Source organism: Homo sapiens, chromosome 10 (genome assembly GCF_000001405.40).
Source record: "Homo sapiens chromosome 10, GRCh38.p14 Primary Assembly".
Taxonomy (NCBI): Eukaryota; Metazoa; Chordata; class Mammalia; order Primates; family Hominidae; genus Homo; species Homo sapiens.
The window spans coordinates 32,718,290-32,739,600 of NC_000010.11; the positions used below are offsets into that span (position 1 = coordinate 32,718,290).

General features: G+C 35.2%; 1 protein-coding gene across 44 annotated transcripts in view; it reads left to right on the forward strand.

The window, feature by feature from the left end:
• CCDC7 (coiled-coil domain containing 7) overlaps positions 1 to 21,311 on the forward strand; it is a 439,541-nt gene that overhangs the window by 274,966 nt on the left and 143,264 nt on the right. For 42 of the 44 annotated variants that reach the window (XM_047425743.1, XM_047425742.1, NM_001321115.2 and 39 more), the window contains 3 exons: positions 8,445 to 8,543; positions 10,598 to 10,708; positions 11,043 to 11,168. In XM_047425743.1, coding sequence (XP_047281699.1) covers positions 8,445 to 8,543; positions 10,598 to 10,708; positions 11,043 to 11,168 — 336 coding nt within the window. Of the gene's footprint in view, positions 1 to 8,444; positions 8,544 to 10,597; positions 10,709 to 11,042; positions 13,320 to 21,311 lie in introns of those variants that run through there. The other 2 variants (XM_017016638.1, NM_001395233.1) reach the window with 2 other exon arrangements.

Here is a 21,311-nt window from a genome sequence, read left to right on the forward strand (position 1 = left end):
TTATCTCAATAGATGCAGAAAAGGCCTTTGAGAAAATTCATGGTAAAAACACTCAATAAACTAGGTAATGATGGGATGTATCTCAAAATAATAAGAGCTATTTATGACAAACCTACAGCCAATATCATACTGAGTGGGCAACAGCTGGAAGCATTCCCTTTGAAAACCGGCACAAGACAAGGATGCCCTCTCTCACCACTCCTATTCAACATAGTATTGGAAGTTCTGGCCAGGGCAATTAGGGAAGAGAAAAAAATAAAAGATATTCAAATAGGATGAGAGGAAGTCAAATTGTCTCTGTTTGCAGATGACATAATTGCACATTTAGAAAACCCCATTGTCTCAGCCCAAAATCTCCTTAAGCTGATAAGCAACTTCAGCAAAGTCCCAGGATACAAAATTAATGTGCAAAAATCACAAGCATTCCTATACACCAATAATAGACAAACAGAGAGCCAACTCATGAGTGAACTCCCATTCACAATTGCTACAAAGAAAATAAAATACCTAGGAATACAGCTTATGAGGGATGTAAAGGACCTCTTCAAGGAAAGCTACAAACCACTGCTCAAGGAAGTAAGAGAAGAGATAAACCAATGGATAAACATTCCATGCTCATGGATAGGAATAATCAAGATCGTGAAAATGGCCATACTACCCAAAATAATTTATAGATTCAATGCTATTCCCATCAAGCTATCATTGACTTTCTTCACAGAATTGGAAAAAACTACTTTAAGTTTCATATGGAACCAAAAAAAGAGCCCGTATAGTCAAGACAATCCTAAGCAAAAAGAACAAAGCTGGAGGCATCACACTACCTGACTCCAAACTATACTACAAGGCTACAGTAACCAAAACAGCATGGTACTGGTACCAAAACAGATATATAGACCAATGGAACAGAACAGAGGACTCAGAAATAATGTTACGCATGTAGAACCAACTGATCTTTGACAAACCTGACAAAAACAAGCAACGGAGAAAGGATTCCCTATTTAATAAATGGTGTTGGGAAAAGTGGCTAGCCATATGTAGAAAACTGAAACTGGACCCCTTCCTTACATCTTATACAAACATTAACTCAAGATGGATTAAAGACTTAAACCTAAGACCTAAAACCATAAAAACCCTAGAAGAAAACCTAGGCAATACCATTCAGGACATAGGCAAGGGCAAAGACTTCATGACTAAACACCAAAGGCAATTGCAATAAAAGCCAAAATTGACAAATGAGATCTAATTAAACTAAAGAGCTTCTGCACAGCAAAAATATCATCAGCATGAACAGGCAACCTATAGAATGGGAGAAAATTTTTGCAATCTATCCATCTGACAAAGGACTAATATCCAGAATCTACAAGGAACTTAAACAAATTTACAAGAAAAAAACAAACAACCTAATCAAAAAGTGGGTGAAGGATATGAACAGGCACTTTTCAAAAGAAGACATTTATGCAGCCAACAAACATGAAAAAAAGCTCATCATCACTGGTCATTAGAGAAATGCAATTCAAAACCACAATGAGATACCATCTCACATCAATTAGAATGGTGATCATTAAAAAGTCAGGAAACATCAGATGCTGGAGAGGATGTGGAGAAATAGGAATGGTTTTACACTGTTGATGGGAGTGTAAATTAGTTCAACCATTGTGGAAGACAGTGTGGCAATTCCTCAGGGATCTAGAACTAGAAATACCATTTGACCCAGCAATCCCATTACTTGGTATATACCCAAACGATTATAAATTATATACCCAAACGATTATAAATTATTATACTATAAAGACACATGCACACGTATGTTTATTGCAGCACTATTCACAATAGCAAAGACTTGGAACCAACCCAAATGCCCATCAATGATAGACTGGATAAAGAAAACATGGCACATATACACCATGGAATACTATGCAGCCATAAAAAAGGATGAGTTCATGTCCTTTGCAGGGACATGGATGAAGCTGGAAACCATCATTCTCAGCAAACTAACACAGCAAACTAACAACACACAGCAACTAATACACAGCCAACTAACCAAACACCGCATGTTCTCTCTCATAAGTGGGAGTTGAACAATGAGAACATATGGGCACAGGGAGTGGAACATCACACACTGGGGCCTGTTGGGGGGTAGGGGGTCAAGGGGAGGGATAGCATTAGGAGAAATACCTAACGTAGATGATGGGTTGATGGGTGCAGCAAACCACCATGGCACATGTATACCTATGTAACAAGCCTGCATGTTCTGCACATGTATCCCAGAACTTAAACTATAATTATAATTTAAAAAAGACAACTGGGGGCTAAGGGAAGGATAACGATTCCCCTAAGAACATAGAATCTTATGTAAACATCCCTTAGAACTCTCTCAGAGCTGTTTGTGGCATTCAGTGCACTTTCTGAGACCCATTGGCATAGTTGATGACCCTCAGACTCTTGCAGATTATCTGTGTGCACTACCTAAAAGTGCCCCAGAGGCTTTTCAGTATCTCCCCAAAATGCTCAGTAGTAGCTTCAGGAATTTTGGTTTATGATTGTATAATCCCAGCACTTTGGGAGACCGAAGTGGGTATATTGCTTGAGCTCAGGAGTTCAAGACCAGCCTGGGCAACATGGCAAAACCCTGTGTCTACAAAAAAATGCAAAAATTAGCCATGCGTAGTGGCTCATGCCTATAGTCCCAGCTACTTGCGGGTGCTGAAATGGAGGATAGCTTGAGCCCAGGAGGTTGAGGCTATAGTGAGCTGTGTTCACACAACTGTGCTCCATTCTGGGGGACAAAGTGAAACCCTGTCTCCAAAAGAAAAAAAAAAGATATTTTATACTGTGAACTAATATGTAAATACCCCAAGATAACTTAAAAAATAGCCCAGAATTGGTGAACTTTGGTTGAACTTTATAACACTATTTTATGGCTATGAGTCATAGACTCAGTATCCACCAATGTCCAATAACAGGCCAAAATTTGTCTCATGAAGAATGTGTAGATTTCAGCTGATTTTGGGAGATTATGAATTCAGAAACCCAATGGACACCTCAGTCCTGTGTCAGTGTCTTTCTGCCGTAGGCTCTAATTGGTGCACAAAGAAGTTGCTGAGACCTATAACTCAAAGGCAAATGTGGATCACAAGGACTCAGGGTAAAGTTAGCAGCATGGCCCATTGGAAAGCCTCCAGGCAATCCTGTTGGTCAGAACACCACTCAAAAATGGCAGCCTTACTGGTAACATAATATATGGGTGTCATCTAGATTTCTGCTTGTGTGATGTGAATGTACTAGTAGCTGAATAGTCCCAATAGTCCCTGGGACTTCTTTATATTTGTTGGGATAGAGTGGGCCAAAGGCTTGGCAATTGTCTCCTCTGGAATAAGACCTTATGCCCCTTTCTAGATCATACCCTGGAATTCACTTGGGTTTTAGGTCTTTGTACCTTGTCTGTATTCTTGGGCTAGCTGTGTTGCTGCATGTGGGTCAACAGGGCAACAGTTTTTGTTTGGTAGTGTCTGGACCCACCAGGAAGATGTCTTCAATATAGTAGAAGGTTAGAACAGGGACATGGATATTGAAAAGAGTATACGAGATGTCAGTTGTTGTATATTAAGTTCCTTTGTCTTGGGCAGTAGCCTCTGTGACAGTCACAAAGTCAGTACTGCCAGTGCTTAGGGCTACACTAATGGAATGAACTACCAATAATCAATCGAATCTCTGTGTGTACCCAAGGCCAGTACACAGGCCCCATGGGGTTATTGGATGGAAAATTAGTCCCATAGAAAACTGGCTTTATTAAGCTCAGAAATGAAATAGTTATATCTTTTCTCCCCTAGTTCATGGATTTTTTTTGGTAGACAATAGCATTAGGTACTATTAATCAGGTAAATTCATGGTCCCCATATATCCCACCAAATGGCTCTAACTAGAGCAATTTTCTTTGGGGCTTGGGAATGAATGCAAGCAGGAATATACTAAAACAATATAACTATACTGTTATACATTCAGTAGTTGGGGGCCATAACAATGGAGGTTTTAGTGGTCCAGTGGGACCCATGCATACTTTGTTACAGCAGCGATCTACTTCCCAGTGGTAGGGCTACCATTACAAAGTACCCACAAATTGGGTGGCTTCAACAACAAAAATTGTCGTCAGTGGGCTAGAAGTCTGGGATCAAGGTGTTGACATGGTTGGTTCATTCTTGGAAAATCAATTCCATGCCTCTGCCTGAGCTCCTTGTGGGTTGCTATTTTTGACATTCCTTGGCTTCTATATGCATCACCCCAATCTCTGCCTTCAATTTCACATGGCATTTTCCCAGTGTGTGTGGGTGCTCCAATTTTCTGTTTTTATAAGGACATCATTTATATTGAATTAGGGCCCACTCTAATGACCTCATTTTCATTAATCTCTGTAAAGTTCCTATTTCCAAATAAGATCACATTCTGAGATACTGAGGGTTAGGACTTCAACTTACCTGTTTTAGAGGGGCACAATTCAACCCGTAACCCTCCCATCATAGTGTTAGGGATTATGGAGATCATAGTTGTGCACCAAATCCAAAAGGCCCAAGAAATGCAATGCTCCTCTATATCCCTATTGAACTTTTACCTTGTTATATGACCACCGTTCTTCATAGGCACATAGGGACCTTGGCCTGATCCTTAGTCTTGTTTAGTTTTGAAAGCTGAGACATCGGTTAAGAGTTGAATGGGAGTCTCCAGTTCACCTCCAGCTTCACTGGGAGGAGCAGAAGGAATAGCGCTTTATTAATCAGGATCCATTACTTCGTAGACCCTAGCAGACCACCCTGTAGGGCCCCATGGCTCACTACCTTGCCATGAGTTCCTTGGTGGGAGAGCCCATCAATTTCCTTAGAACCCACACTTAAGTAACTGGAATCAGCGATCTTGTTGTGAAAGTGCTTGCCCAGATGGTCCTGGAGAGAGTGCGTGATTACCAGTTTTACATCACTCTTTCTGCCAGCCAGTTGTTGCTATCTGTGCAGCAGCTACTTTTTCAATTCTGATACCGATTTGTCATCAGTTAATATCTGGATTGTACCACAGACTGATCAGCATGGCCTTATGAGGATGTTTAATTGAGTTCAGTAACCAGTAGGAGTAAAACGAATGAACCTAAAAAACTGAGTCTTGTTAACAGTCTCATCTACCACCGGGGTGGCTAACAGGGAAGCTATATACATTGGAAGAATAGTCCAACTATGTTTTTTAATATCAAGGAACTTATCATGTTGGATCAAATCTTTCTAAGCCCAAATAATATCCAGCTGAGGATGTAGATTGTTTTGGATGCTTGCAGCCTTTCATCCCAGTCCTCTCTTCCTCCTCCTCTTTAGGCAAAGTGGCTGCTAATAGTATACTCTGAAAGTGGGGGTCTATAATGATACACCCCACAAGATGACACTCTCACTAAGTTTAACAAGATTTCCTTCTTCATCGTGGAGGTGAAAAACCCAAGTCTCTAAGATCACTTTAGATAGCTGGGTGAAGTAACTCCAAAGGGCTCTACATTCTTTTCCATTTTAGGCATGAGTCTCAACAATTTGCTGCATCGCAGGCTATCTTTCAGTGTCAGAGACATGCTTAGAGCTAACACTAGTAACTGGGTGCAACTCAGCAACTCAGGGTCTCTGATGACTTTTGTTGCCATTGCCTCCGAGATTGTATTACTAGGTAGGGATTGCTTCCCCAGCTTTCCTAGAGTCTCTCTTTTGGATTTATAATTTAACCCACCAAGCAAGCTCAGCTAGGGAATTGGAAGCTAAAAGGAAGGATTATTAGTTCTCCCTGAGACCTGAAAAGCTTATATATACAATCACTAGCATTCCCCAAAAGCACTCCCAGGGCCCACAAAATATTTCCTGAGACACATTGTCATGGCTGGTGAAGTGCTCTATGGGACTCCCAGACTCTTGCAAAGGATTCATTGGCATCATCCGTGAGTGTCCCATGCATTTCTCTAACATCTCCCAAAAAATTTCCATGGGATCCTCGGGGTTCTTTTCTTTTCTAGAAAGGCAGTGTATTTACTGGTCAACTCTGCTCACTGCACCACTTTGTCAGAGAGAGAGCTGCCAGTTGTTGAGTTGGTCAATTAATATAACAAGTCAAACTGAAAGGAATAATTAAGCCTTTTTTCAGATACTGTGATAACATAAGCAAGAGTCTACACAGGAAAGGGCCCAGCTTCACCAGAATTCCACTTTTCCCCATTAAAGGCACCAGATGAGTGGCAGATGTTTCATTTAAAAATGGGGGGATCATTTCACTGCCATGGGAACCCCAAATGAAAAGCTCTTGCCATTATATAGATGTGGCATGTGGAGAGGACCAGGAGTGGAAAAGTACTGAACACTGTCAGAAGAAAGAAAATTGTCTTCAAGGCTCCCCAGCAAGGTCATCTAACCAGAGTCCCCTTAATAATACAGTACCTTAGTCGAGCTCTCTACTCCCTCACAAGAAGGACTCCAAATGGAGGGTTCCTGAGCTAGGTGTGCAGATATGAGTAAGAGCATGGTTGGCCTGGAGAGATCTGAACCCATACCTGCACATCCCTACGGAGATCACAGTGCACTGGCTGTATGTTACATCCAGTGTGGGATGGAAAGCTGTCTTCCATAACTGCCAGATAAAACCTTTGTACTTGTCTATGGGTGTGCCTGAAAGATCACACACAACATTTTAACTTGAACCCATACTCCTTAGAATACACGTATATATTTATGTGTATATATCTACTTATACATACACACACATACACATGCATGAGCACATATGCATGCATGTGTACATGAATACACATATTTTAGAAATCATGAGATCTCTTGGACACCTTTAATTTTAGTGTCTAAGGGCTTGTTCTTGATTTCCTTCATTTTGTATGTATATATCCTTTCTTTTGTATTTTGAATCCTTTCTCTCGAAGCACCAACTGATTTATGCAGTTGCTCTATCCTATAATACTTTGAAACTTTTACAAAATTGCTTAGCATATACTACTACAAAAACAAACCTACTAAAAGAATTTCATGATTTCTTTGCAGTCTGCCCCCAACACTCTTGCCCAAGACTGAGGGTATGTTTCAAATACTGTATTTATTAGTTACATGGATTAGTACTTGTTTTTTTGTTCCATATATTAGGTTAGTTTCCTTTCAGTTTTAGTTCCCACTTCTTATCCTTATTGAATTAATTTTATTTTTAGAATATTGTGTTCATGCATTTTGTATTGCTGTGAAGGAATACCTGAGGCTGGGTAATTTATGAAGAAAAGAGGCTTATTTGGCTCATGGTTATGCAGGCTGTACAGATATGGTACCAACATCTGTTCAGCTTCTGATGAGGCCTCAGGGAGTTTTTAGCTATGGTGGAAGGGAAGGGGAACCAGCATGTCACATGGCAAGAGAAGCAAGAGAGAGATGGGGGACATCCCAATGTCTTTGTCAACAACCAGATTTTATGTGAACTCATTACCATAGAGAGGGCACCAAGCCATTCATGAAGGATCTGCCCCCATGACCCAAACACCTCCCACCAGGCAATACCTCCAACCTTAGGGATCACATTTCAACATGAGATTTGGAGGGGACTCATGTCCAAACCATATCAAATATGTAAAACATTAACCTACTTCCAAAAGTAAATATTATGCAAAAGATATCCTTAGAAGAATATAATTTCTGCCACATTCCTTCTCTTTGTATTCCCATCCTTTTTCCTGCCCTGTTGTCTTGTAGATAACAAACTACAGTGTTTTCTTGCTTATTTTACCTGTGTCTCATTTTGAAAAGGTTAATATTTCTCTATTTCTGTTTTTTTCTGATTGGTTATTTCTGACTCAAAAGTTACCGTACTAGATATCCTGTTTTTAAGATTATTTTTCACTTAACATTATCTTCTAGAAATCCCTCCATGTTAGTTTATAGAAACCTTTATTATTTTTACATAATATGTATAGAATTATATATAGTGATATGTAGAGTATTTATATCATATCATAATTTATAGTATATATCTTTGTTTATTGAGCCAATATATTATACTTGAATATTTAGATGTGTTGAATATTTTGCAATTATGAATAATATGGTAATGAATAATGTGCATACAAATTTTTATTGTTTGGTCTATTACTGTGTATTAACCTACAGTGTAAATAATCAATGAATTCTGAAGACCAATAGAAAATATATTTGATGCCTTAGAATATTTATGATATAATGAGACAGCTTTTGTAACACCCATTAAAACTATTTTCATCATTTTCATGTCAGATTTAAATTATGGTGATTTACTTATAATTTTATAAAAATGAGAAAAAATATTGCTATATACTTGTTATAAACTTCAAATATAGAGATTTCACAATAGATTTGTTTTTTCATTTAGCGGACTAAATGTATCTCTTTATGTGGTTCATTTTGTAGTACCAGATAAAAATTCTATGTTTGTTCATCAAGATTCAGTGTCAAAACTCCAAATGCAAGAAAAGAAAAAAATAACTCCTGGAAGGGAAAGGCGTAATAGTAAGTGTAGTAATTATAGATGACTTTAAATTATTTTAAAATTAAACTTATCAGAAGATCTTTGCCTTTGATTCCTGAATGTGTATTTTAGCATGTATTTTATGGAAATCGTAGACTTTGCCCTGAAGTCTTAAGATAAGTAGAGAGCAAAAATGAAAATGTTAACTTCATGTTGGAGTTTCTGGTCATAAGATTATTTCACAGCCATTGGACATGCACTCAATATCTACCAAGGCCCAATAATTCGCCTACAGTATCTTGAAGAGTGTACCTTTCAGCTGACTCTGGGAGATTAGTTTCCTGGAGATCATACCCAATGATCACTTACCACGTGTAGCGATGTTGTTCTTCCCTAGGCTTCAGTCAACAAACTGAGAGGTTGTTGAGGTCTGTAACTCAAATAGCAAGTGGGAATTATAGGAGCCAAGGAGAAGGATAGTCCTGAAGGCTTGTTGGTTAGCCCTAGGGCATTTTGTTGGTTGAGCGCCACACAAAAGTAAGGTCTTCTTGGTACCCTTATAGATGGGTGCCATCAAGTTTCTTGTGTGGTGGGGAATGTTAAAGTGCCCATGGCCAACAATGATTGTGCTTCCTTTTCATTTTAGGGGATTGAGAGGACGAAAAGATAGGCGACTGCACATCATCTCCAAATTCACAGGGAAGGGTGGAGGGAGTAACACTTCATTAATCATAGGGTCTTCAATGTGCTGACCCTAGTAGGGCCCATCAACTTCACTGTTTAGTAACCAGACCTAGAGATTGTCTCTACAGGCATCATTCAGGAGAGGGCGCTTGATTGCCATTTTATTAGGTTGGTGCAAAAGCAATTGCAGTTTTTGCCATAAATTGCTTTTGTACCAACCTAATATATCGCTTTCCTGCTGGTCAGTCTTTTTCTACCTCAGGAGCTGCTGCTTTTCCCATGCCTGAAAATTTTTCAGTTAAGTTCTGGATTTTGTCACAGAACATATGACCTGCCCTTATGCATAAGTTTGATTGAATTGGAAAATCAGCAAGAGTGGCATGAAAGAACCTAGAAATCTGAGTCTGGTCAACCATCTCCTCTATTGTTCTTACTCTTGATTGTAGAACCAAAGGACAACCAGCGTTGTGATTCATAGGGCTGCTCTTGCCTCTGCAAGGGTGGTCCAAACATGATTTTAGTGGTAGGTTCATCATGGGTATGCCCAAGCGATCAGAGCCCAAGCAATCACTAAGCTGAGGAATGAGAGGGTCTTGAAGTTGGCATCTCATACACCCCCTTTCTTTCTCCCCCTTGAGTGAAGCTTCTCTGTCATGACACTCTGAAGGAGGGGTTCTGTAGTGACTTATTCCACAAGGTACCACTTTTTCTCATTAAGTTTAAGAAGAGTACATAATGTTCTAAGGTGCCTTTGGTAGGTAGGTAAAGTGATCTCAGAAGGTTCTACATTTTTTTTAAAAAAATCCCTTATAATTTAACCATGAGTCTCAATACTTTGCTGGGACATAGGCTGTCTATCATTGCCTGGTAGCTGTTTAGAAGTAACAGCAGTCATTGGGTGCAAATTAGCTCTCAGATTCTCTGGCAACTCTCAGCCCCATCTCCACATAATTATATACTGTAATTAATATCATACCATTGTTTGTGGTATATATATCTGTTCATTTGACCAATCTCCTGTGTGTGAAAATCTCAATGGTTTTGAATATTTTGCAATTACAAATAATGCTATAACGAATGATCTTATGCATATGCATTTTCATTGTTTGGCCTATGATTATATATTAAGCTAAAGTATAAATTATCATGTATTATGTAAGTATTTTGATTATGTATTAAAGTATAAACTCATGAATCCTGGAGACCAATATAAACTTTATTTGATGCTTCAGAATATTTATGAAATAATGGCTTAGCTTCCACAGCAGCCATTAAAATTATTCTATTTTTGTGTCAGATCTAGCATTATGGTAATTTACTTATAACTTTATAAAAATAAGAGAAATGTACATATTATACATTCATAGATTTATGTTTCCATTTGATGGACTAAATGCATCTCTTGATATAGCTCGTATTGTAGTACCAAATGAAAATGTGATTTCTGTTCATCAAGATTCAAAGTCAAAACTCCAAATGCAAGAAAAGAAACAAATAAATTCTGGAGTGGAAAGACACAAGAGTGAGTATAATAATTATCGATAACTTTAAATTATTTTATGTTGAACTCATCAGATCTTTTCCTTTGATTCGTCAGTGTGTACTTCAGACTATATTTCATCAACTTTTAACTTTGACCTAAAGTGTGAATACCCTATGATAACTAGAGAACAAAAGTAATGATACTTTTTGGTTGGTATTTGAATGGTCATTAATTATAAGTAGTATCACTGCCTCCACACATGCTCATGAAAACTATTCACATGATTTTCTCATTTTACTTCCATGGGTTGAAATTCTGATGATTACTTGGCATATCCAGAAGTTCTATTGCACATCTATTTTTTTCTATTTAGCGTTTCCTTTAGAAATCAAAAAAAAGGATATATCACTTGAACATCTGTTGCCTGAGGAGAAAGTTTTATTATCAAGAAGCGAATCTCAAACGAAGAAACTTCAAGCTAAAGTAACTTCAAGAAAAAGTAAGTAATTATTTATAAATCTTATAAATTGTTTTTATTAAATTCAGGAGAAATTTGTTTTTGGTTTATAAATATGCCTTCAACCATATGCTTCTTCTGCTAATTATTTCCATCACACTACCAGATCTTTATTGATAACTTGTTTCTTTTATAATTACTCAGTTGCATGTGTCAAATCTGCCACTTTGTGGATTTCTCTATTTCTTCTTGTATTAGTGTCAGGTTTTGCTTTATATCTTATAATGCTCTATTTTTGTGTGTGTGTGCAAGTAAACTTTAAATTTATATTCTTCAAAACTTTATATTCTTCAAAAAACAGTTTTTTCCTTATAAAAGGATTCACTTCATCATTTTCATAATTTTTGTTGTTTTCCTTAATAACTACTTTATCTGTTATTATGGCTCCACAAACTTTCTTCCAGTTGGTATTTGCTTGATACGTTTTTTTCATCATATTATGTTTAACTTCTTTGTTTCTTTGTGATTTTGCTATGTCTATCGTAAGAAACTTACAATTGTATATACTCTTTTTAAAATCAGCTTGAATTTTAAGTTCTGGGGTACATGTCCAGGGTGTGCAGGTTTGTTACATAGGTAAATGTGTGCCATTGTGGTTTGCTGCACAGATCAACCCATCATCCAGGTATTAAGCCCAGCACCCATTAGCTGTTCTTCCTGATGCTGCCCCTCCTCTTGCCCCCCACTCCAGACAGGCCACTGTGTAGGTTGTCCCCCACATGTCCATATGTTCTCATTGTTCAACTCCCATTTATAAGAGAGAACATGTGATGTTTGGTATATGCTCATATTCAGTCTGATATTTTTTCTTTTAATTATCTCTTATAACCATATATAATCTAATTATTGATTTTTTAGGTGCAATTATATCATTTTTTTCTTGGCTTCTCCTATTTCTCCTACATGGTATGTTTCTTTCACTGTCTACTCCATTTTTTATCATCATACATTTTTCCTTAGCAATATTTGGTACCAAAAATTTTAAGCTTTACCTAAAGTGTGAATATAATAAGAAAAAATAAGGAAAAATTTTAAATATACAAGTATTTGTAATAATGTTTATAGTAGTAAATAAAATAATAATGTTTACAAATAAAATATATTTAATACCCATGTATATAAAAATTAACAGAACAGCTTTTATATGCACAAGTAAAAGATGTATTTATATGCTTATATTTTAACTAGACACTGATTTGCTTATATCATTAACATATAGTAATTAACATATATTGTGAATCTGGAGGTTCCACCATAGATACAGTTCTCTAGTGCTTTTAAGAGCCTTCCTTCTTGTAGTCCAGAAAAAGATGAGGTATTAGATGAAAATCTTTTGCCTGCAACTAGAGCTGCTAGAAAGAAGAGATTCCATAGTAAATATGGAAATAATATTATTAAATTATTTTTAATTACATTAGTTAAATTTTAATTAAGCATAATTTTGTTCATGGATATGTATTCTGCTACAATGTTACAGACATCCACTGAACTCATTTTTTATTGTGTCATTTACATTTATTTCTTGATTTCCTTGAATCTTGATTATTCTATCAATTATTGAGATGTATATTAAATTATCCCACTATGTGGATTTACCTATTTCTTCTTATAGTACTGTCCATTTTCCTTATACTGTCTATGTTATTAGATGTATACAAATAAAAAGTTAGATTTTCCTTTGAACTCTGCCTTTTATTTTTATGAAAGGGATCATCTCAGTCTCTAGTAAGGTCTTTTGACTAAAAGTCTATTTTGTCTGACATTGACATAATTACTACAGAGTGATTTTGGTTAGTGTTTGCATTTTTTTAAGTCATATCTCTAATAAAGAACTTATAGTTGAATTGTTTATCAGTTCAATGTGTCTGTCTTTGTCTATTCCTAGAATATGTAAAATATGTAATCCATTTACAATTATTGTACTTACTGATATATTTGGATTTAAATATTTTGGGTGAGGGTGCTTTTCAGTTTTTTTTTGTCTGATTCAGATTACTTTCTATTTTATTTCTTTCCTTATTTTGGAATTACTTTTAATCAGTTGAATTATTCAATGTGTCACATATGTTATAAAAACTTTTTAAAATGTGAATACACTTAGTAAAATAAAGTCTAATTTCAACTTTCTAAGTGTATGTATGAAGTAATAAGAGTGCCTCCACATACTTTCAGGAAAAGTACTCTGGTGGTTTTTGCATTTACCTTCATGATTCATTTTGAAAATGTGTCAGAGGTTTTATTGTGTGACATTTATTTAAGTTGTATTGTCTAGTGTAAAGTCTTATAAAACTGATAGGGCTGGGCACGGTGACTCAAGCCTGTAATCCCAGCACTTTGGGAAGCCAAGGCGGGCTGATCACAAGTTCAGGAGATCGAGACCATCCTGGCTAACACGATGAAACCTCGTATCTACTAAAAATACAAAAAATTAGCGGCGCATGGTGGCACGCGCCTGTAGTCCCGGCTACTTGGGAGGCTGAGACAGGAGAATTGCTTGAATCCGTGAAGCGCAGGTTGCAGTGAGCTGAATCGGCCACTGCACTCCAGCCTGGGCAACAGAGTTAGACTCCGTCTCAAAAAAAACAAAACAAAACTGATAGGAAACTTTGAATGGTCCTTTCTATATATTAATAATTCAGAGACTTCACAGTAAAGTTTTTTTCACTTTTTATTGGGTTAAAAGCCTTTCTTTTTGCAACTGAGAAAATGGATGAAATAGCAGATGAAAATCTTTCACATGAAATAAAGTTTTAATTTTAAAAAGCCCATCTCATATTACAAAACTTAATACTTGCAGAAAAGTGAGACTTCAAAGTAATTATAATCATTAAGAATATTGTGTAATGACTTTAAAGTTCTCTCCTTAGTTTATATGTTCAATCACAAATATGATTTTTACATGTCATGTGTATAAAGAAAACATGTATGTGCGTATATTCATGTATATTCTCCATTGTCGTTGATTAATCATATTTTTCATGTGTTCTTAACTTCACTGAGGTTCTGTTTATTTTATCATTTATGAGAAAGGTATTTTAAATTCTGCTACTGTGATTACTTATTTCTCTATCTCTTTGTAGTTCTGCCAATTTTTGTTCTATGTTTCTAAAGCTTTTTTTTATATACATACACATTTTAAATTGTTAAATTTTCTTAAGAATGCTGAAACTCTTGTCTTTATGATGGACATTTTTTAAAATAGACTGTATTTTTAGAGCATTCTTATGTTCACAGTAGAAAGAAAGATAGAGATTTCTCATATACCACCTTCCCCCACCTACATGTAGCATTACCCACGATATGATGGACATTTTGTAGCAACTCTCTTTGCCATTAATCTGTCAGATATTAACATAGCATCTTTTTAATATTAGTATTTGCAGAACACAATTTTTCACCATTGTACTTTCAACCTTTTTGTATTATTATAGCTTAGCTGTATTATATGTGTTAAATGTATTATAGTTCTTTTTTAAATCCAATGTGGCAAACTTTGAATTGAAAACATAACATTTAACACATTCATATTTAATGTAAGTACTGATATTTTGTGGGTTAATATACCATCACTTATGTTTTCTGTATTTCTTGCCTGATCTGTTTTTGAATCTCCTTTTAAAGTTTATTTTTAATATGTTTTTATCTTTTTTATTACTCATATCTGTTATAAAAATTTAACTTGATTATAAAATATGAATACCTTATGAAACCATTTTCTTGAAAAGTTCTCCTATATTTTTACACTTTACATACTCAGTCTATAACTCACTGTCTCAACAACGTGGCAGTTGGTTATATTATTTCAAAACATGAGAGAAAATATTGCTGGATAATTGATATGTATTTTGAATTACAGAGGTTTTTTGATAAATTTGTTTATTTAATGGATTAAAAGCATCTTTTTTGTAGCTCAGAAAATGGAAGAGGTATTAGATGGAGATTTTTTTAATTGAGGATAAATTTGCATTTTCAAAAAGCAAATCTCCAGCTAAGATATTTGGAGCTATCAAAATGGAAACACTAAGTAGTATGATAATTTTCAATATCATTGATGTATTTTTAATTAGAGTAAGCTGAAGAATTTTGTTCTTAGCTTTGTGACTGTTTAGTCAATATGTCTTTTGTATACATCTATTAGATCAAATATGTTTATTCTGTTCAGTTCTTACTTTTTTCATTGAGGTTTTTCTGTTTATTCTATATTACTAAGATAAGTATGTTAATTTCTCCCACTGTGATTATGGATTTCTCTATGCCTTATGGTAGTTCTGTCAAATTGGTTTATATATTTGGAAAATATTTATTTATTGTGTGCAAATTTATACTTTTTATCTGGTAAATGGAGACTGTCTGTTAATCTCTGAAAATGCATTTTGTTTTATACAAATCAAAACCATAGTGAGATACCATCTCACACTAGTCAGAATGGCTATTATTTAAAAGTCAAAAACAACACATGTTGGTGAAGTTGTGGAGAAAAGAGAACACTTACACACTGTTGGTGGGAGTGTAAATTCGTTCAACCATTATGGAAAACAGTATGGTGATTCTTCAGAGAGCTAAAAGCAGAACTACCATTCAACACAGCAATCCTATTACTGGGTATATACCCAGAGGAATATAAATTATTCTACCATAAACATACATGCATGTGAATGTTCATCGCAGCACTATTCACAACAGCAAAGATACGGAATCAGCCTAAATGCCCATCAATGACAAATTATCTGTATAAAGAAAATGTGGTACATATACACCATGGAATACTATGATTACTATGCAGCCATAAAACAGGACAAGATCATGTCCTTTGCAGGAACATGGATGGAGCTGGAGGCCATTATACTTAGCAAACTAATGCAGGAACAGAAAACCAAATACTGCATGTTCTCACTTATAAGTAGGAGTTAAATGATGAGAACTCATGAACACAAAGGGAACAAAAAACACTGGGGTCTACTTGAGGGTGGAGGGTGAGAGAAGGGAGAGGAGCAGAAAAGGTAACTATTGGGTATTGGGCTTAATACCTGGGTGATGAAAAATCTGTACAACAAACCTCCATGACATGAGTTTACCTATGTAACAAACATTCACAGATACCCCCGAACCTAAAATGAAAGTTAAAAATAAATAAATAGGCTGGGCGCAGTGGCTCATGCCTGTAATCCTAGCACTTTGGGAGGCTGAGGCGGGCAGATTGCCTGAGCTCAGGAGTTCGAGACCAGCCTGGGCAATATGGTAAAACCCCGTCTCCATTAAAATAGACAAAAAATTAGCCAGGTGTGGTGGCATGCACCTGTAATCCCAGCTACTTGGGAGGGTGAGGCAGGAGAATTGCTTGAACCAGGGAGGTGGGAAGTTGCAGTGAGCTGAGATTGTGCCACTGCGCTCCAGCCTGGGTGACAGAGTGAGGCTTCATCTCCAAAAAACAAATAAAATTAAATAAAATAAGTTAAAATAAAATAAAATAAAATAAATTTTAAAAAATGCATTTTGTTTTAATGTTTATCTGATATTTGTACAGCTACATATGCTTTCTTGTGATAAGTATTTACACAGTCTTTTGTAAACAGTTTAGACAGAGGCTCTTGGTGCTATATGATTTCAGTAATTTTTTCACAATACTCCTAAACCACAAAAAGAGTCCAACGATTTCTTCATTAATTAGGTGCAAAACAACTTAGTACCTGTTGGATACTGCATAACTTTTGTAGGGACATATATTTTTTACACAGGTAAATACCAAGGAGCACGATTGCTGTATCATATAGTAATACTATATTTAACTTTGTAAGAAATTGTTAAACTGTCTTCAAAGTTGCTGTAGTGTTTTGCATTCCTACCAGCAATGAGTGAGAGTTCCCATGTTCCTTGCCAGTTTTTGTGTTTTTAATGCTTTGGATTTTAGCCATTCTGATAGGTTTGTAGTGGCATGTAGTGGCATCTCAATGTAGTGGCATCTCATTGTTGATTTAATTTACAATTCCTTAATGACATATATGTTGAACATCTTTTTATGTTTATTTGCCATCTATATATCTTTTTTGGTATCTCTTCAGCTCTGTTGCCCATGTTGTAATAGGTTTATTTCTTTTTCTTATTGTGTCAGGTATGTGTTTTCTAAATATTTTCTTCCTGCAGGTGGCTTTTATTTTCATTTTCTTAACAGTGTCTTTCACAGAGCAGAATGTTTTTATTTTAGTAAGTACAACTTATCAATTTTTTATTCATGGATTGTGCTTTTGTTGTATCTAAAATGCCATCACCAAATTTAAGGCCACCTACACTTGTTCCTTTGTGTCTTCTAGGAATTTTATAGTTTTTGCATTTTATATTTAGATCTATGATCCACTATGAGTTCATTTTTGGTAAGGTGTAAGGTCTTTGGTTATATTCATTTTTTGTTTACATGTGGATGACTAGTTATTCCAACATCACTTGTTGAAAAGAGTCCTTTATTGAATTTCCTTTGCTTCTTTGTAAAAATTTGTTGACTATATTTATGTGATTCTTTTTATCTCTCTTCTGTTCCAATTGCTCTATTTGTCTATTGTTTCATCAATAGCATACTGTCTTGATTTCTGTAGGGCTACAGGAATTTTTAAAGTTGGGTAGTGTCAATCCTTTGATTTTGTTTTCCTTTAATATTGTGTTAACTATTCTGGGTCTTTTGCCTTTCCATTCAAATTAGAATCAGTTTGTTGATTCCATTTTGATTCCCACAGAATGGCTTGTGGGAATTTTGATTGCGATTGCATTGAACTGAGTTGAAAAGAACTGACAACAAACAATATTGAGACTTCCTATTCTTTAACATGGACTATTGCTCCATTTAGATCTTAGATCTGTTTATTCTTTGATTTCCTTAATCAGAGTATTTTAGTTTTCCTTTTTTTGTGGTTAATATTTTTTTAATTTTAGTTTATTATTATACTTTAAGTTTTAGGGTACATGTGCACAATGTGCAGGTTAGTTACATATGTATACATGTGACATGCTGGTGCGCTGCCCCCACTAACTCGTCATCTAGCATTAGGTATATCTCCCAATGCTATCCCTCCCCGCTCCCCCCACCCCACAACAGTCCCCAGAGTGTGATGTTCCCCTTCCTGTGTCCATGTGTTCTCATTGTTTAGTTTTCTTTATATATCTCTTATACATATTTTGTTAGGTTTATAATTACCTCATTTTTTTGGTGATAATGTGAATAGTATTGTGTGTTTAATTTGAAATATCACTTGTTCTTTGCTGGTATATAGGAAAGCAGTTGACTTTTGTATATTAACCTTGTATCTAGCAACCTTGCTATAATGACCTATTAGATTTTTGCTGTTGTTGAGCAAAAACAATTTTACTCATTTTATATTTATTTTATTCTCTTTTCTTGTCTTACTGCATTAGTTAGGACTTCCAGTACAATGTAGAATACATGTGGTGAGAAATGATGTCCTTGATTTATTCCTTATCTTAGAAAAAAAAGCATCTGTTTTCTCATGATTAAGATATTAGGTATTTGTTTTTTGCAGATATTCTTTATGAAATTGAGGAAGTTTCCTACTATTCTTAGTTTGCTGATAGTTTTTAAAAATCATAAATGGGCTTTAGATTTTGCCAAATGATGTTTCTTCATTTCTTATTGATCATATAATTTTTTCTTTAGTCTGTTGATGTGGTGGATTACATTAATTGATTTTTGAATATTGCATGAATGTTGCGTACCTGGGATAAACCCCATTTGGTTGTGGCATATAATTCTTTTTATACATTGTTGAATTCAATTTGCTAACAATTTGTTGAGGATTTTTGCATCTTTATTCATGAGAGATGTTGGTTTGTAGTTTTTTTCTTATAGTACCTTTATCTACTTTTGGTATTAGGGTAATATAGTTTAAATGTATTATGGAATGACACTGTACTTTGTGTGACTTTTGTTCTTTTAAATTTGTTAAGGTTTGTCTTATAGCCCAGAATAAGATCTGTCTTACTGAGTGTTCCACAGAAGCTTGAGAAGAATGTGTATTCTGCTGTTTTTGAATGGAATAATCTATAAGCATCAATTAGATCCAGTTGATTGGTGATGTGCTAAGTTCAACTATATTCTTAGTGATTTTCAGCCTGTTGTAGCTGTGAATTACAGTTAGATGGTACTGAAGGCTGCAAATATAATGAATTTGTCTGTTTTCTTTGCAGTCCCATCTGTTTTTGCCTCATGAATTTTATTGCTCTGTTGTTAGGTGCATACTTATTAAGTATTACTATGTTTTCTTGAATAATGACCTTTTTATCACTGTGTAATGTCCCTCCATGTCTCTGATCATTTTTCTTGCTCTGAAGTCCACATTGTCTCAAATTAATATAGTTTCTCCAGCTTTGCTTTGATTAGTTAGCATGGTATATCTTACTCTGTTACTTTACTTTTAATCTTATCATTTTCATATATTTAAAGCCAATTTCTGGTAGACACCATATAGTCAGATTTTTTTATTCACCTACTCTGACAGCCTCTGTCTTTGAATTGATATATTTAGACCATTCACATTTAAAGTGATTATTGACATATTTGCTTCAATATCAACCGTATTTGTAGCTATTTTCTCTTTATTGTCCTAGTTCTTTGTTTCTTTTTCACCTTCCACACCTTTCCTGCCTTCTCTGGCTTTAATTACATATTTAATATGATCCTATATCTTCTCCTTTCTCAGGATATCAATTACATTTCCTAAAATTTTGTATAGTGGTTTCCTTAGAATTTACAATGTACATTTATAGAATATCCAAGTCCACTTTTAAATATCACTATATCGCTTCATGGATAATGCAGGTATTCTGATTTCAGAGAATTCCCATTTCCTGCCTTTTGTCACTCATAAGATTCCTGTCATTTATTTCACTTATATATAAGCTATAATCATGGAGAACATTGTTACCATTATTATTATGAATAGTCTGTATCTGTTAGATCAATTAAGAGAAAAGAATATAAAATGGTTTCTTTCACTTTTTTTTTTTTTTTTTTTTTGACAGGGCCTTGCTTTGTTGCCTAGTCTAGAGTGTCATGGTGTGATCACAGTTCACTACAGCCTCGACCTCCTGGGCTCAAGTGATCTTCCCACCTCAGCCTCCAAGTACCTGGGACTACAGGCACATGCCACCATGCCTGGCTAATTTTTGTATTTTTTGTAGAGCTAGGTCTTTGCCATGTTGCCCAGGCTGATCTTGAACTCCTGAGCTCAAGCAATCCATCTGCTTTAGCCTCCCAAAATGCTGGGACTACAGGCAAGAGCCACCATTCCTGGAGTTTTTTACTTTTATTCCTTGTCTAATATTTTTTCTCTCTTTATGTAGACCTGTGTTTCTGACATGTATTATATTCCTTCTCTCTGAAGAATGTTTAAAAATATTTTCTTCCAATGCAAGGATACTGGCAACAAATTATGTCATTTTTTTTCTGAGAATGTTTTTATATCTCTTTAAGTTTTGAAGGATTATTTGTCTGGATACAGGTTCTAGTTGGTTGTATTTTTCTTCAACACTTGAATATTTTAAATATTTTAAGTTTTTCCCACCTCTTTTATCTCTCAAGATTTTCTTTTTGTCTTTGATTTTCTGTAGTTTGAGTATAGCATATGATTAGGTCTAGACATTTTTGCTATTGACCATTTTTTATGTTCTCTGAGCATCTAGGATCTGTGGTTTGATGTCTACCATTAATTTTCGAAAATTCTTAGCCATTATTATTTCAAATATTTCTCTTTTCTTGTTTGCTTTTTCTCCTTCTGTTACTCTCATTATGTACGTATTATACCTTTTGTAATTTTCCCAAAGATCTCGGTATTCTGTTTATTTTATTATTTTTTCTCTTTTCAATTTTAGAAGTTTCTAATGACACGTTTTCAAGCTCACTTATTCTTTTTTGACTGTGTCCAGTATACTGATAAGAACATCAAAGGCATTCTTAATTTCTGTTACAATGTTTTTTATTTCTAACATTTCCTTTTTTTCTTAGTTTTTCTAGCTTCCTGCTTACATTATCTATTTCTTATTACGTGTTGTCCACTTTTTCTATCAGTGGTCTTAATATCTTAGACATAATTATTTTAAATTTCTGGTATGATAATTTGAAAA